This window comes from Homo sapiens, chromosome 11 (genome assembly GCF_000001405.40).
Source record: "Homo sapiens chromosome 11, GRCh38.p14 Primary Assembly".
Lineage (NCBI taxonomy): Eukaryota > Metazoa > Chordata > Mammalia > Primates > Hominidae > Homo > Homo sapiens.
This window is the reverse complement of record NC_000011.10, coordinates 39,479,062-39,498,129: the sequence shown is the minus strand read 5'-3', so window position 1 is coordinate 39,498,129 and position 19,068 is coordinate 39,479,062. Positions and strand designations below refer to the sequence as shown.

The 19,068-nt window shown below is 35.5% G+C and overlaps 1 long non-coding RNA gene across 4 annotated transcripts; it reads left to right on the top strand.

The window, feature by feature from the left end:
• Nucleotides 1-8,197: 8,197 nt before the first annotated feature.
• Nucleotides 8,198-18,848, top strand: LOC107984362 (uncharacterized). 4 transcript variants are annotated; one of them, XR_001748064.1, is made up of 5 exons: nucleotides 8,198-8,583; nucleotides 8,716-8,823; nucleotides 16,285-16,379; nucleotides 17,406-17,447; nucleotides 18,515-18,848. It is a non-coding gene; the product is annotated as an uncharacterized LOC107984362 (long non-coding RNA). The 4 variants fall into 4 exon arrangements; XR_001748063.2 differs by lacking the exon at nucleotides 18,515-18,848 and having other exon boundaries at nucleotides 17,406-18,275; XR_001748062.2 differs by lacking the exons at nucleotides 16,285-16,379; nucleotides 18,515-18,848 and having other exon boundaries at nucleotides 17,406-18,275.
• Nucleotides 18,849-19,068: the final 220 nt, after the last annotated feature.

Here is a 19,068-nt window from a genome sequence, read left to right as displayed (position 1 = left end):
GACACTAGTCATAAAAAAACCAATTGACTAATTATTCACAACTCAGGAGGCATGAATGCTTTTTAGAAGATTTTCAAGATTACAGCTGTATTCCCTAATCAAAAGCAGCTGGATGAAATTTTCCCGGGGGATATTAACTCCTAAATTTTCCAAAGTAGCACCTGGAGACTTAAATTAGCCTCTATATTTTTCAACCACTGTATTTTTTTGATCTCATCTGTTATTTAAATGATCTAAAACTTTATGCTCTTGTGTTGCAAGTTGATAAATGTGCAAGAATATCCAAAAAAAAAAAAAGTTGTCCAAAGATCAAGTTACTGAAATTCCACTATATGGTCCCCAGAAAAAGATATTCTTTTCCTAGTGACTCTGCTTATACAACTAAAAGTTTTATTTACCTAACATGTCTCTTGAATTGCATGCTTAAAAATCTCTTGGTATCATAGGAAGTACTGTAATTTAGCTCTGAAATCATACAAAGCCAGGTTCAAATTTCAGTCCTGTGAATTATTAGTTATATGACTTTGGGCAAGTTATCATAACCTCTTTGTACCTCAGTTTTCTTCTTATGTTTGGGCCTGTGAAGTAAGTTGTAGAAAAAAATCACTTTTTTTCAATTTAACATGAAAATAATATTCTTAGTTTGGAAATTGAGCTCAAACAACTAACAAATTTGCCTAAAGTAATTTATCCATTTCTATTAAGAAATAAGATTCATCTGGGTTCTAATTTATTTGCAGCATACATAATACATCTCTAGATAAATGATTTTGATGACACAATACATCAAAATCTTCAGTTTTGGTATATTAGAAGAAATATCCAATTGTAAAAACTAGTTTATTTAACATACAGCCTTTCTGAATTCAACTGTTGAATTTGTATTGCCAGGGTTCCGTATTTATAGAGCTAAATATAATGCTTTTACATGTAATAAAATCCTCAACATTTATTATGCAATTTTATTACCAGACATTCTATGAGTTTCATATTTTACTAACTCACCTTGTGAGGTTGGCTATCATCATAATTCCTGGTTTCCAGATGAGAAAACTGAGAAACAGAAATATTTTGAAACTTACCCAAGTTTACAGTTAGTGCATGTCAAAGTAATGATGCACTCTCAGGTGTATTGTCTCCTTAGCATATGCCTTAGCCATTAGGCTTCTTTGCTCACTCTCTTTTACTGAGTCGAAAGGAGTTGTATTTTTAGCAAGTTTAAATGTATATCATTTACTATTGGAATCATATTTTCCACTGACTTTTACCTGTCTATTTTTGTTAGAAATGTCTACTTATGTGTGCTATTTACTCAAACTGAGACACAAATTAAACATTCCCAATTGAGTTACATTATCATAAATTTTTTAACTGGGTAAACAATTCCTTTAAAAGCCTACAGGAAGAACTTTAAAATGCATCAATTTTGACAAAAGCAATGTTTCACACAATGTATTCCATGAAACACTAATACCACTTAAGTATCTGTTTGGGATTTCCAGGTCGGATAACTTTGGCTATTTCTGCCCTTTGACTGAAGATCATAATGCAAATTTTTAAACTGTCAAATTAAAGATATTGAAAGTCTTGAAGCAGAGAAGTTTAATCCAACATTTTCTAAACTTGGTTGACCAGAAAACCTTTAATAAATGAGTATCCAGCTTCTAAGCATTCTGTAGAATATATTCTGGGAAATGCTAATTTATGCAACCCATCATGACAGGGGGATTTGAATTCTTTGACACATGCTTTGCATTCTATTTCAATGTTTTAAAGACCCAAAAACTCAGAAGCATTTTCTGTTTCCACTTTCCAGCCCATATTTTAAATCAACAGTTCTGCTAATAATCATGAGTCCTTGAGATAATCACACATAAGCTATTATTTGCTGATGATTGTGCCCCATCAGATATGCAAACCCACATGGCCCAATGCAAGCAACATGAAGATAGTCTTATGGTGTCATGATGCACACTGGCAAACAGATAAAGGAAGGTTTATAAAATAAGAATACTGAAATTTGAAAAATATATAATACACCTTGGATACACAACATTTCCCAATCCTGTACATAGTCGTAAGCAAAATTAAAAAAAAAAAAACCCACCTCCACAGCCCTCCAAAAACATGTGATAGTATTTTCTAAAGAATGGTGATCAGTCTATAGCTTGTGCACACAAGCAGTTCAATAAATATTTGCTGAGTGAATGAAAGGAAGAATGAAACAGGCTGTGAAGCTCTAATACAAGATACTGCTTGAGCAGCTACAAAGTCCACAAACAACAGGACTGTTTTTATATTCACCCAGTACGGAAAAGCCTACTAATCTCTTCATTGTTACCTACCTGTGGAGTTTTAATCGTTATTGGTAACATCATCTCATCACAGGAAGCCCATGGGTATATAAAGCCTGAAGGAAAACTTATACTTGCTCTTGTTTTATAAAAAATATTTTATAAAATATCATACCTGTCAAGGTATTTTTTTTCATAGCATATGACTGCCCTTATATTTCTCAGTGCTGATAATCTGCTTTTTGAAATTATCTCTACTTTTGAATTATCTCTACAATTTTTTCTACTTTGTAAACTTTTACTCTGTTTTCTTCAGACACTTCACTACAGGGAATCACATCCCTTTTCCTCTCTTCATTTTCTTATACTCTTCCTTTCACTCTCTTTTCAATGTCATAATCTGTTCCTTTTCAATGTCATAATCCCAATTATTTACAAAAGAAAGTGGTTTGCAAATGTTTCTCTTAAGTTAGACATGACTTTAACAAAATGTTGCATCTGACATTTTTAACTTCTGCAGAGCTTTTTTCTATTTAAATATTCCACTGACAATTGAAAAAAAATCCAAAAAAAATTATAGTCCATTCTAAAGCCAGTTCCACTTCCACCCTCTCTCTGGAGCCCTGTTGGCTCTTTCCAAAGAAGTGCTATCTTCTTATATTCTAGAACCTGGTGTTATTTTCAATTACAAGTCACAGTTCTAGGAATTGAATTGTCCCATTCTCAATTTGCTCACCTGAACTAGTCATCTACAGAAGCAGAGTCAATATAATCTCTAGCTGACCCATTTTGAGAGAGCTAAGCACTAACACTTACCTACTTTCCTTCTGCAGGCAACTAGTGGGATTAATTGTTTGGAAAAATCTGTGTTCCAACAAGAGATGCCTTGCAGCCCTTTTATGCTTCTGCTTAACATATTAGTAACTCTAGACAATGATATTTTCAAAGACCTAAATTGCACTTCCTTTTACTTAACCTAACCTCTTGATTATTGCTCTTCCATCTCTGACTTCCAGAATTTCTGGAGTCTTCGTGTACTTTCACACCTCCTGGACTCCTTAAAACACAAGGTCCCCTAAAGGATAATACTTCCACTACATTTCTCTTGAGTATATGCTGTTCATTCTCCTACAACTCATGGGCTTGAAGGAGTATCGGCAAGTACCCAGATATACTTAAGGGTCTGTTGCTACTTCTATATGTGAAAAACTAGAGAAAGAAAAGAAAAATTCATATATATGAGTACCTTTCTATATATATAGACAATCTTTGTGGTTCTCATTTGTGTCATCGACTGTTAACTTGAACACCATTTCTTACATTTGGAAAACTTTGTGACCTGTCTCACAATTCTCTTCCTATTGCAAGTCCTACCATCATATCTTCCCAGACATTGAAACTTAGACCTACTTGAAGCCAACTTGGTAGCATGTTTATCGGGGAAACCCACCCCCAATATTTCAACATAGGTTCTTTCTATTTTCCCTAAGTGTTGGCCAGTCTGAGAAATAAAGAAAAAGAGTACAAAGAGAGGAATTTTACAGCTGGGCCGCTGGGGGTGACATCACATATTGGTAGGTCCGTGATGCCCCCTGAGCCGCAAAACCAGCAAGTTTTTATTAGGGATTTCAAAAGGAGAGGGGGTGTATGAACAGGGAGTAGGTCACAAAGATCACATGCTTCTGAGGCCAATAAACATCACAAGGCAAAGGGCAAAGCACAGATCACAAGGCAAAGGGCAAAATTAGAATTATTGATGAGAGTCTATGTTTGGCTGTGCACATGTTGTCTTGATAAACATCTTAAACAACAGAAAACAGTGTTCGAGAGCAGAGAGCCGGTCTGACCTCAAATTCACCAGGGCGGGATTTTTTCCCCACCCTAATAAGCCTGAGGGTACTGCAGGAGACCAGGGCATATTTCAGTCCTTATCTCAACCTCATAAGACAGACACTCCCAGAGCGGCCATTTATAGACCTCCCCCAAGGAATGCAATTCTTCTCCTAGGGTCTTAATATTTAATATTCCTTGCTAGGAGAAGAATTTAGCGATATCTCTCCTACTTGCACGTCCATTTATAGGCTCTCTGCAAGAAGAAAAATATGGCTCTATTCTGCCTGACCCCACAGGCAGTCAGTCAGACCTTAAGATTGTCTCCCCTTGTTCCCTAAAATTGCTGTTATTCTGTTCTTTTTCAAGGTGCACTGAGTTCATATTGTTCAAACACACGTTTTACAATCAATTTGTACAATAGTGGTCCTGAGGTGACGTACATCCTCAGCTTACGAAGATAATAGGATTAAGAGATTAAAGTAAGACAGGCGTAAGAAATTATAACAGTGTTATTTGGAAACTGATAAATGTCCATGAAATCTTCACAATTTATGTTCAGAGATTGAAGTAAAGACAGGCATAAGAAATTATAAGAGTATTATTAGGGAAGTAATAAATGTCCATGAAATCTTCACAATTTATGTTCCTCTGCCATGGCTCCAGCCAGTCCCTCCGTTCGGGGTCCCTGACTTCCTGCAACACATATAGCCAGGTTAAGATGTCAAAAACTGAACATCTTTCACTTGGTATTCTATTAGAATTATTATTGAGATGAAGTTTCACTCTTGTCACCCAGGCTGGAGTGCAGTGGCATGATCTCAGCTCACTGCAACCTCTGCCTCCCAGGTTCAAGCAATTCTCCTGCCTCAGCCTCCTGAGTAGCTGGGATTACAGGTGCCTGCCACCATGCCTGGCTAATTTTTTTTTTTTTTTTTTGGTATTTTTAGTAGAGATGGGGTTTTGCCATGTTGGCCAGGCTTGTCTTGAACTCCTGATCTCAGGTGATCCACCCACCTCAGCATCCCAAAGTGCTGGGATTACAAGCATGAGCCACTGCACCTGGCCAGATATTCCATTATTATCATAACTTGAAATTTCTTTATTACCCTATTTTTCTATGGCAAGCCTATTTAATTTTTACTTCATTTTTTCCACTTGAGAATTCACTCTGCACTTCAACTAATTTCTTGTCAATATCTTTACTTTCTTTTATTGTTTTCTGACACAACCAGCTCACAAAATTTCAATCCATTATCTACTCTCACTTTCATCTTTTCTAGATCCAATTATTCTCCAAAACTATCAGATTTAAGCATACTCAGATTCTTACATCTTTAAAAGAAAAAGTCTTATGTTCAGAACCTCCTCATATATCTAGTGACTGCATTAACTTTCTTCCTTCCTTTAATAGCCACACTTTCTATCTCTACATGTTTATTAGGTATAATACACATTGCAAAACATAGAAGATAGATAATAGATATCTATACACTTGTGTCTATATATGTTTGTGTGTGTATATGTGTATATATTTATATGTGTGTGTGTGTGTGTGTGTCTATGTATGCTTGAAGACATTTTATAATTAGCTATTTATTCTTCCAAGGCAACAACTAGGACTTATTTAGATTTGCTTCTTCAACATCTAAAATAATGCTTGAAACATAGAAAGTACCTAATAAACATTGTTGCATGAGTTAATACTTGATTTAATAAATATGTGTTGAGGCAATCCAATCAGCTTGTGGCTATAGTTTTTCATCATTTTATATGTAGAATTATATTTTTAATATTTTTTTCTGTCTATTATTACTTATCTTTCTTTGAGCTTAATCTTGAAGTACTCTGAGATAAGTAAAATATCTCTTAAGGACTTTATTAATTTGACATAGTTTGGGTGATCGTCTGTTGTTCTCTTTTTTTCTTAATGGACTCTAGAGACTTGACAAATCCATCTTGTTCAAGTGTAATTGTGGTATCACTGGCTTTACTTTCTCACTCAGCACTATAACAGAACTATGAAAAGCATAAGAAAAGTCCAATTAGGGTTCACATATCCTAGAGGGAAACCAAGTCTTTTTAATTCCAAATGTTCTGCTTCTAGGACTAAAAAGTAGAAACCAGTTATTATTTTCAACAGTTACTAGTATTAATCATTTTCCCTTAAAATTATTCCCCTTTACCTACACATAAAGCCAAAATACGATTATAATGTTCATAGAATTTCAATGGTCCACCCTCTCCTCTATTTCTATGGCCCTATGTGAGAAATACCCCTGTGAATAGAATAACATATATCCTTCAGGATCTCACAGATTCATGAAGACTCAAAAATAAAATGGTAATTCACTAATGCACTTTCAGCCAAGCCAAACTGCTCTGAGCAACCTGTGCTCTTTCACACCTAGTTATGTTTACACTTGCTATTGTTCCTCCTTGAAATATTACCACGGAGTTCCCCTGCACTTACTCAGTTACTTCCACCTGTCCTTCGAAGTTCAACTGAGATATTAGCTCTTCAGAGCAACTTTTACTGCTACTTCGCCTAACAGATTTTAGTTTTTTTCCTCTGAACTTAATTGACATTTTGTTCCACATTTACAATATCATCGTGGTATAAGTATTAGTAAATTAGTGTTTTATTTTTGAGTCATCATGAATCTTTGAGATCCTGAAGGATATATGTTATTCTATTCACAGTTGTATTTCTTGCATAGGGCCACACAAATAGGAACCATACTGGGAAATGAAACCATTAGTCTATACTCAGCCTGGACACCAATAATTAAAACGTTACTGCCTAAATCAACCTGACTTTGCTATTACACTGTCATTATTAACATGACTTTATTTTCCTGAAAGCCTCGTGCCCAGGCAAATGGCTTGATTCTTCATTATAGGAACATGCTGAAAACTGTATAAATTCTTCAATAGAAAACATTAACAGTTTGTGCCCTAAAATTGTTTTTGAGGCAAAAATCTTCTGCCTTGAAATCTTGCTCTTGTTTCCACCAAGGGAAGCTATTATGGTCCTTTCCAATCCCAATCAAGTGTTTATATTGAAAGACTTGCCTTAAACCAAACTTCCAATTCTCAATAAATTTCTACCTTTCCATCCAACCTTGAGGAAATTGTCAAAGTTATGCAGAGGTGATGATCTCTTTCTCTAGTGATAAAAGACTCAGATTTGTCTTATCAACAGATTAATTAGTTGAATTAGAGTAAACTGAATATCACATTTGTTGCTTAAAAATGTGGGTTAAGTAAAACTCCAGATTCTTTATAATATAGTGTATTAAAATTTAGGTAGATAAAATTTTATGATGTTTCAGGCCCATAGATTTAGATCATTTGTAAACAAAATCTAGTCAATGACATTTTATACATAACTATTATTAGTTGGCAGAAGCTCAGATATAGCCACAAAGTAATAGTAGGAAAACATTTATTAGATACCAACTCAGTGTCAGTTGGCCTGTGCTTTCTACAAGCTATCTCCTTTTGCTTAGATTTTAAAGATTTCAGTTTATTTAAATCAAACTTGTAAATCATTTTAGACTCTTTATAGTATTTCCAATTTGCGCTAAATGGTTAACATGCATTTAAAATGTAATCAGGCCCAACACTGATTCATTATCTGGCTCAATGGTTCATTGGTTCACTCACTCACCATACAGCCAAAAGCATTATCACAGACCAGCCTGCATTTGTCATCAGGAGCAAACTACCATACAAAGGTAATGCCCACATCAGACTTATATCTTTAAGCCAGGATGATTCATCCACTTATCAAGCACCTGATATTAGAAATGAGCCATCAAAACACACCATTATTTGTCCTATGAACACTCTGACACACCCTCTTTTTATCTCTATTTGTCCAAGTCTGCATGTATCTTTCACTTATGATCAGCAAACAAGATAAAAAAGGATTATGTAAAAAGCAGTTTCTCCTGAAAGAGCTATTGCAGAAAATTCATGGAAGAGGTGGAGTTTGAACTGACCCATGAATATGAAATTCTCTAATTTCTACCTTTATGTACCTTTGGTTGTATCTTGTCTCTCCACTTCTGGCTTTGTACGTATCAGTTCAAGCTTGAATTTGACCTGTCAGCTTCCTCTATACAGAATGTTAGCCACTTTGACCTAAACCTGCTGATTTAATTCTTAGCTCTTGCCTACCTGCACATGTTGGATTATCTTTTAGTTAGAAAAAGAAACAGGAAATCACATACTCATGTAAACTATGTAATTGAGCACATGCAATGCTATAGAGTGAGGAGAGGGAGGACAGTGGCTTTTTCTCCTCATTTTCTGTTCCTAGACCCCACAACAGATGATCTCATCATACAGGTCTTCTACTCCTTAAGATAGACAAGATTGATGAAAGACTGGAAATGACTTTGCCTGGACCATGATTCAGCGACACTGTCCCTGTGGCAAGACTATTGGCCAGGTACTGCCAAAGGTCTCGAAGAGGATTGGGTTTTAGGGCACCATCCACATAAGATATATTAAGCCAACAAGGTAGCCTCATGGCTTAATGAGGCCTTAACTCTCTTAAAGCGCTTTTCATTCTATTATTCAGGCTCAAACGCAGTGGCTGATCCTCACTGACTCCTCTTCCTAAGGTTGTTGTACTAGGAGCATCTCCTAACACTACACGGACACAATTCAATGACAAAAATCAGAGAAGGTGGGTCTATTCCTAATTGTTATAAGTTCAAATGTTTTACCTTGCTGAAGAAGTGCAAATATAATAAGAATAAATATTAGTCAAGTGTCAGCCATATTATAAACAGCAATGTGAAATAATTTTTAGGTCAGGTGAGGTGGCTCACGCCTGTAATCCTAGCACTTTGGGAGGCCAGTGTGGGTGGATTGCCTGAGCTCAGGGATCAAAACCAGCCTGGACAACATGGTGAAACCCTGTCTTTACTAAAAATACAAAAACATTAGCCGGGTATGGTGGCGTGCACCTGTAGTCCCAGCTACTTGGGAGGCTGAGACAGGAGAATCACTTGAACCCAGGAGGTGGAGGTTGCAGTGAGCCGAGACTGTGGCCACGGCACTCCAGCCTGGGCTACAGAGCAAGATTCCATCTCCAAAAATAAAAATAAAAATAATTTTTAATTTACTTATCCATAGTAGTGCATATAAAGCATTCAGTATGGTTTTTATCCTGTATTATTTTCCAAAATTACTATATTTTGTTGCACAGCAGTCACATTTAATAAATCAGGGATTTAAATTCTAAGATAATATGTGACTTTTACAAGTTCAAACAGAAAACCATAACAGAAATTTGATTCAGGTTTTTGGCTGGGTGCGGTGGCTCACGCCTGTAATCCTAGCACTTTGGGAGGCCGACGCGGGCAGATCACGAGGTCAGGAGATCGAGACCATCCTGGCTAACACAGTGAAACCCTGTCTGTACTAAAAAAATACAAAAAATTAGCCGGGCTTGGTGGCGGGCGCCTATAGTCTCAGGTACTCGGGAGGCTGAGGCAGGAGAATGGCGTGAACCCAGGAGGCAGAGCTTGCAGTGAGCCAAGATTGAGCCACTACACTCCAGCCTGGGAGACTCCCATCTCACAAAAAAAAAAAAAAAAATTTGATTCAAGTTTTTAAAGCCCTGGGTATTTCTAGAGCCCTGGAGGCATTATTAAAATATGGAAATATTTGGGCTCAAAGATCAACATCCGTATTCATGCCTTGTCTTTCATTTAATATACTTAAAGATGTAATGTTCAAAGTTCTCAAATAAAAGCATTTACAATTTCATCTGAAATTGCTAAGCATCTCATAAAACCTGAAAATCATTAATATGCTGAGTATATTCATTCTTTGCCTTTAAGGGATCTGGTCTGTATTTAAAGACTGAATTATTTATTATAGCTTTGCTGTTTAGAATCAGTTTTTTTTTTCAAAATCACTCTTATAAGCTGTTCTTAGTTAGATGTGGAAATACTCAGGGCTACAACATACCTTTCACTATTAACCACCCTGATTGACAGATCAAAGGATTTAGATGCTCTTGAACTAACAATAATTTTACTTAGGCAAACATCAAGAGTCCAAATGGTTTGAAAATGCATATGTGTTCCTTGAATAGATTTTTACAAAATAAATCAGGTACGTGCCAAGTCCCTCACCTGTAGGAACATAATATTATTTTTCTCTCTGAATTAAATTATGGTAAAAATCCTAAGAGACCAAACAAAATCTGGATGATTTTGCCGAAACACCCCCAAGAATAGAATTCATGGGATTCAGGTGCACAATCTCCGTATAAATTAAGGACTGGGGCTGTGGCTTTTGAAGGAAAAAAAAGATAGAAAAAGAATTAAAAGTTTGCCATCAGAATGGCCTGGCCTTCGATCACACTGAATGCCTCAAAAGTGTATTGCCTGTTCACACAAAGTCCACTATGAGATGGAGTAACTTCCTGGAGCAATTACCCTCTATGCAGAAACTCATTGCTCTAGGTTCACATGCTCTAGTTTTATAGCTGTGCTCTTTGCGATGTGGTGGCTCCTCTGTCCAATTTAGCAAGGAAAGAGAACATTGAAATTTTTCACGTATACATTTAAATCAAAAAGTGACCCACATCAGTCACTTCTGTTCACAACAAGGAAATAATAACATGACCCTACCTAACTGCAAAAGACGTGGAGAATGATAATCCCCCATGTACCTGAAGACAGAGAAGCCAGTAGGGTCTCTCCAGCACCAGTTTTATGGCCAAGGAACACTTACATAACCTCTAAGAGCCTCTGTTTACTCATCTATAAAATGGGAATTTTAGAAATTACTCCATAAGTTTGTTGTGAGTTTGAATTAAATGAATACATGCAAATATCTAGCCTGTGGTCTAGCACACAGCAAAAATTTAAAAAAATGATTCTCTTCTTCCTGTTTTTCTTCCCCTCAACAATTCTGTAACAATTTATTAATTTATATATTTCCAAATGATGTTTCCACTGTGCTGTTCCTATTATTTTATCTCATTTTTCCTCATTTGTATTTTTAAATTTTTTAAGCATTTTGAAAAGTGCTTTCAACTTAACCTATATTTTTCCAAGGAAAACACAAATAAATATTACTAAATAATTTAATAAGACATTTTAAACTATTGTTTCAGTGAGTCATATATTTTATTTTTGGATTATAAATATAAATATTGTATTTTCATAAAACTGTAGATTCAGCTGGAGACTCTGGTTATTCTTCTTTGGTCTAGCTGAGTTCTTGGGTAAAATATTTAAGCATGTGGCATTTACTTTGTGATTATTCTATCTTCCTAAATACTGATAAATCACTACCAGTAGAGTTTATTTTCTTGTATTTCCTATTTCCCCCTTAATAAAGAGCTTTTTTTTTTTCTAATACTTGGTATATCGCATTCTCTGTGGTGGTAGAAGGCCCTTCTCAAGGATTCTCTAAACTGCTCATGAATTTAACAAGAACTAAAGAGGAAGTGTTATAACATCTGTTAAGCCCTTATCACATGCCAAATTATGCTTATAATTTTACATAAGCTAAGTTATTAGCCATCATATAAGTAGGGTATTAGTGTCATTTTAAAAATGAAATATGGACATAAAAGGAAGTTTAAATAACATGGTTGTATTATATGGCCCATGAATGCAGATAGAAGATTTGATTTCAGGATAAATTCTATGCTGTGTATACCATATCACAGTTTGTGTTTGCTAATTGGCCTTGCCCAAAGGAAAAATGAACTTTCTTCCATCTTCATGGCAGGAGGTACTTTTACAACTGGGAGAGAGACTTTCACCCAAATTATGTTCTTACCTTCCCACAGAGACTGGGAGATAGGGCCGCTATCTGCCTTGATAATTACTTTTCAAAGGGATTGCTTTTATGTCCTTGCAAAAGACATTACTGGGCTGTAAAATTAGCAAGAGGTTTTTATAAAAGAGCCCGCATTGCCCATCAATCCTAAGCCAAAAGAACAAAGCTGGAGGCATCACACTCCCTGACTTCAAACTATACTACAAGGCTACAGTAACCAAAACAGCATGGTACTGGTACCAAAACAGAGATATAGATCAATGGCACAGAACAGAGCCCTCAGAAATAATGCCGCATATCTACAGCTGTCTGATCTTTGACAAACCTGAGAAAAACAAGCAATGGGGAAAGGATTCCCTATTGCATAAATGGTGCTGGGAAAACTGGCTAGCCATATGTAGAAAGCTGAAACTGGATCCCTTCCTTACACCTTACAAAAAAATCAATTCAAGATGGATTAAAGACTTAAACGTTAGACCTAAAACCATAAAAACCCTAGAAGAAAACCTAGGCATTACCATTCAGGACATAGGCATGGGCAAGGACTTCATGTCTAAAACACCAAAAGCAATGGCAACAAAAGCCAAAGTTGACAAATGGGATCTAATTAAACTAAAGAGCTTCTGCACAGCAAAAGAAACTACCATCAGAGTGAACAGGCAACCTACAAAATGGGAGAAAATTTTCGCAACCTACTCATCTGACAAAGGGCTAATATCCAGAATCTACAATGAACTCAAACAAATTTACAAGAAAAAAACAAACAACCCCATCAAAAAGTGAGCGAAGGACATGAACAGACACTTCTCAAAAGAAGACATTTATGCAGCCAAAAAACACATGAAAAAATGCTCATCATCACTGGCCATCAGAGAAATGCAAATCAAAACCACAATGAGATATCATCTCACACCAGTTAGAATGGCAATCATTAAAAAGTCAGGAAACAACAGGTGCTGGAGAGGATAGGGAGAAATAGGAACACTTTTACACTGTTGGTGGGACTGTAAACTAGTTCAACCATTGTGGAAGTCAGTGTGGCGATTCCTCAGGGATCTAGAACTAGAAATACCATTTGACCCAGCCATCCCATTACTGGGTATATACCCAAAGGACTATAAATCATGCTGCTATAAAGACACATGCACACGTATGTTTATTGCGGCACTATTCACAATAGCAAAGACTTGGAACTAAGCCAAATGTCCAACAATGATAGACTGGATTAAGCAAATGTGGCACATATACACCATGGAATACTATGCAGCCATAAAAAATGATGAGTTCATGTCCTTTGTAGGGACATGGATGAAATTGGAAATCATCATTCTCAGTAAACTATTGCAAAAACAAAAAACCAAACACCGCATATTCTCACTCATAGGTGGGAATTGAACAATGAGAACACATGGACACAGGAAGGGGAACATCACACTCTGGGGACTGTTGTGGGGTGGGGGGAGGGGGGAGGGATAGCATTGGGAGATATACCTAATGCTAGATGACGAGTTAGTGGGTGCAGTGCACCAGCATGTCACATGTATACATATGTAACTAACCTGCACGATGTGCACATGTACCCTAAAACTTAAAGTATAATAATAATTAAAAAAAAACAAACAAACAAAAAAAAGATTCACACCTCAAGGGGCAAAGAATTTACAAGTTTCCTAAAGTAAATGGTCTAAGAAAAGGGAGAAGAGGGACCTTGTTAGCTAGGTCATCTGTATTCTGTAAGAGTCAGGGTAAGAGGAAAATCTGCGGAATGGAGACAGAAAGAAACCCCTCTAAAGTTTAGTGAAGTGAAGGAAATGTGAAGGCCTTCTTGGTCAACACGATGTTAAGAATTTTAATACAGCTCTTAATTAGAAGTGGAAAAGATAGCGAACAATAGCCCCAAAACAAGCCCTATTGTTCCAAAGAAATCTTTCTCCATTTGTGTGTAGTAGCTAACACCTAAATTCCTGGGTTTAGCAGCAGTGACCATTTGGGCTATAAACGAGCAGCAGAGAATAACGGAGTAGGAACAAACTGTTTAGGGAAGGCTTTTCCCTGGGAAATCTTAGTGAATAAAGCACCAGTTAAAAATCTGGGATGCCAGTTTGTGTGGAGCAGGGGCTTATTGGACTACAAAGAGGAAATAATGGACTCAAAATCTAAAGTCAAATCAAGCTGATAGCCATTCTTGTTCCTTTCTCTAGCAATTTTGCAACCACCACAAACTTTGTGACATCAAGCAACATCTGTTCTATTTTCCTCATGGGTTAGAAATTCAGACAGGACAGAGCAGGAATGGCTTACTTCTACCCCATGAGACTAGGGTCTGAACTGGGAAGACAGTGAATTGGACTCAAGAACCCATTTCCAAAATGGCTTCTTTACTTACATGTCTGTACCCTGATGGGAAAGCTAGAAGGCTGGTCTCAGCCAAAATTGTCAGTAAGAATACCTCTATGTGGCCTCTCCACTGTAGCAGCTTCAGGGTAGTTGAACCCTTTTATGTGACAGCTAAGTGCTCCTATGAGCTTACTCATGGGAAGTAGTATACTCTTTTATGATCTAGCATTTGCAGTCCCACATAGTGACATTTCCAATATTCTTTACTGGCTCACTCAGTGAGAGCCTCAACCAGAATCAAGGGGTGGAGACACAGATCCTTCCCCTCAAGGAAAGAGTGTGCAAGAATCTGCAGTTGTGTTTAAAGCTATCCCAATTCTTAAAGAAGTAAAACTGAGGCAATTTTTAAACTGGAGAAACTCTAAAATTGAAGAGCAGGAGAGACTTCATCGAAAGTTTTGATGTGAATTATGTCACAAAGTAGAGTCTAAAAGGCTTAAGAATGGGATAAGAAACCATGAACACCACTAGTGTTTCTTTGTTTCTTTGCTGTAGCAAATACCTTCGGAGGTCTTAAACCTTGATCTCTTAGGTGTTTGGAGCTCTCCTTTTTATATAGTGGTGACATTGGTGATATCCTTTGGAAAGGTTTTGGAGAACAAAGGTTTTAATCTTGGCCTTGGGCAAGATATTTAACCTTTCTGAGATGTTATTTCCTCATCTTTTAAAAGGGCATGAGGAAATCTCCCTGAAAGTGTTGCTGTAAATTTAAAATAACATCTTTATGTAAGACTGAGCACTGTGCTGGATGCATAATACACCAAAAACAGAAGAATTCCCTCATGGAATATATATATCCGGATTTGTCTTGATTGTGTCAGTTGACAAAATGAACATAGGCTTAGCAATAAGAGAAGATAATACCTTTCAATGGGGGGATGGTACAAATTTTCTAGGTTTGGTGGGGTGGCTAGGGAAATCATTTGATTGCTTTGAATTATGAAGGTGAATTAGAATTTCCTGGAAAATTTGTAAAATAACACATATTCATAAGCTTCATCTTAGACCCACTGAATCTAAAAATCATCTTGACATGCCAATACTCTGTATTTTTAATTAGCTCCTCAACTGATAACAATACAACCAGGCTGTTTGGCAGCAGTCGGAGGATCACCACCAAATACATTACACGATGTTATAAAAGTTCATCTGGGCTCCAGTCACATATGAACTCTTTTTTTTCCACAAAGTATCATTGTAATCAATCCCTAAACGAAGTGTTAAATAACATTAGTCAGCTCATGATAAATAAATAATGAAAATAATTTTCACCACTCTGATTTTGTTGTTAACAAGAAAATTAATCTAAAACAACTTTTATTTATGTTTGATAAACATCCTGGCAATTTTCCTGCCTACACTCAATATTTCAAATATGCATATGTAGGAATTTAAAATTATTCCACAGCATTTTAACAGTTGAATTATTTTAAATATGCTCATAAAAGCCATTGAGATGTGCTTTTAATACATACTGTTGACTTAGAGGTTGCCTTTATTCAAACGATTATTTTTTCTTTCCTGAAAATTTCCAATTGTCTGGTCAATTATTTAACTACACTGGCATTTATCCAATTTTCTTACATTGCAGAACATATATCCAATTTTGGTTTCTTTGGAAATCCTCAACAAAAATTGCTTTTCTGCCAATTCTACCTGCCAGTAGTAAAAATTATCCCCTATTTTTACAAAGCCAACAAGCCATAAATTATAGAGAAATATCAGATCTCTGAAAATGTGTTGAATGTCTGTTTTCCCCAAATTCATATGCTGAAACCTAATTCCAATGTATTAGGTGGGGCTTTTGGTGGGGGTGATTAGGTAATGAGAGCTGTGACCTTGTGAATGGGATTAGTGTCTGTGTAGTATGTTTTGCATTGCTATGAAGGAATACCTGAGACTGGGTAATTTATAAAGAAAAGAGGTTTATTTTCTCTCATAGGTCTACAGACTGTACAAGAAACATGGAATCAGCATCTCTATCTGATGAAGGCCTTAGGAATCTTCCACTCATGGAGGAAGGTGAAGGGGAGGCAGGTGTGTCACATAGTGAGAGAGGGAGCAAGAGAAAAGGAGCAGGAGAGACGAGAGATACCAGACTCTTTTTTAATAATGAGATCTCTTGCTATTTCATTACCATGAAGAGGCACTAAGCCATTCATGAGGGATCTGCCCCCATGACCCAAACACTTCCCACCAGGTCCCACCTCCAATACTGGGGATCACATTTCAACGTAAGATTTGTAGGGACCAAACGTCCAAGCTATATCAGTCCCCGTGTAAGAGAGACCCTAGAGAGCTAATGAGCTCCTTCTATTATATGAGGACTCAATGAGAAGATGAGTTCTATGAACCAGAAAATGACCCTCATCCGACACTGAATCTGAGGGCATCTTTTGATCTTTAACTTTCCAGCCTCCAGAACTGTGAGAAAAAATTCCTATTGTTTAGAAGCCACCCAGTGTATGATAATTTTTGTTATAGCAGTTTTAACAGATTATGACAATATGCCTTTCCATATCAACATAAAGAAAATCTGAGAATGGAAATTATTGTCAATACTTGGGAAGGGAAATAATGAAATAAGATTTTTCCCATAAATCTAAAACTTCTAAAAACACAAGATTAAAGACTTTTTTATGCAAGTATGTGTACATATAGAAGAAAATGCTTTTTGCAGACTTTCACATGACCATAGAGTTTATTTTGGAAAATAAAAGTTTATTGAGTCTTTCGGGCTTTTATTATTTTTTTAAAAAGCTTATAACTAGAAGAAAATTTCCTAAATTTTTAATCAAAGCACTTTTTGTAACAGTAGTTTAGAACTATTACACCCCAAGATACTGGATAGACAGAGAAATGTGCAATCACACATCAAATTAAATAAAATAGATTACATAAAGCCTCTAGTGCCAGATATTAATGGGAACAGATATTTAGCTAGTCACTATTATTCTATTAATCTACTTGTTCATTTAGGTAAACTGCTAGATACATGCAGCATCAGGTTTGTTTTAGAAATAAAATCAATCTTGAAATCACCTTCTCTACCTTCTTTTACAGGAAAACAAAACAAAACTTCTGGAATGCCTCTTCATCTGTACTGTATCCTTGACAGAATTCCTATTGAGTGGTTTTCATATTTAACAACAGATCCAATTTTGTCAAATAAATTCTTACATGGAACTCCAATCCGTTGAATTAGAAGAAAAGTTAGTATAAGTTATTTCAAGTTTAATAGTTTTAGTTGTTAATTTATTTCTTAATTTTGTCTTTCAGGGCACAGTGTTGAGAAATCATTTACACAGACAAAAAATTGCAACTGATTTTTAACTATTTCTGCGTGCTATCTTCCTACATTTTCCAATTAAATTCTGATAGTTCGACAAGAACTGATTTCTATTTTTCAAAATTATATCACTAACTTACCAATATTCAACTAGTGCTTGCTTTCAATGATTGGTTAATATTGGCTCTGAAAACGTTCCTTTGCCAACATAAATGTTCATTAAGAATTTTTCAAAAATGTCAAAAAAATACCACCTCAGTTTCAACTATGAAGTAACAATTTAATATTTCAAAACAGTCATATTTATTTTTCCTTGCTGTTAAAATCAAACTTTAGCTTCAATTTTAAGGCGGGCATTCTATATACATTTAAAAGTAGGTAATTTTGTGAGTGTGAATTGGACTTACTTAGATTACTAAAATTAGCAGCAAAATATATAACCTGTTTCCACAACATCTGGAGTTTAAGTATTAACACTGTAAAATATTATCTGAATTTCTCATATTTTAAACTATCATATGGACAATAGAACAGATTCCACTATAAAAATAATTTTTAAATCACTTCAAGTAGGATTACATGTAACTCTGAATGAAATGCAGTTAAAACATAAAACATAATAAAAATATAACTAGTGTAGTGTTTGCTGACAGTATTTGCCTAGCAAATTTCCTTAATCAGGGATCTTTTTAATGAAACACAATGATGGTTCATACATAATAAAAGTCTCATACGTGCTTTTTTGCTTAGATAGTTTTCAAATTTTTAATACAGCTTTCATTACACTTTTGATACCTTACTTGATAAAATATTTTTAAACGCAAATGCTTAAACACTGTAAATATTTTTTCTTAATTTTTATGATTACCTGGAAAATAATGAGAACAGTAACATCTGAAGCCTCTTCCACCTGAATGATGAAGATGTCAAATATTCTCAGCCTCAAATTAATGTGTCAAGTACATTGGATTTGTATCTTTGTGTTCTTTCCTATCTTCTTAAAAAATTGTGCTAATTACATTTTCAAAAATTGTTGTTTTTCTAACATATTGGTTACAATATCAATATATGTGGCTTAATAAAATAGTCTCTGAGAACATGTGCTTTTCTGAATGTGTCAGGTGGCAGCTTGCTTTTAACAATATTGTAAGTTTTTATAATCAGATTTAAATTGTGTTTATCTAAAATATTTATGAACATTGAATTTATGGTGAACAAAGCAGAGTCTTCTTTCAAATCGCATGTAGTTATGTTTCAAATATGTGAAATTTTTGAATACTTCATTAAAATTTTATTTTAATAGAACACATTAAATATCTGAGTAATTTTTATCTTCATAAAAAGTACAACCTGGTAAAAATAAGTTGTGTCACATTCTCAATTTCAAGTGATCTACATATGAGTTAACACTTTTTTTTATTTCATTGACTTTTATCA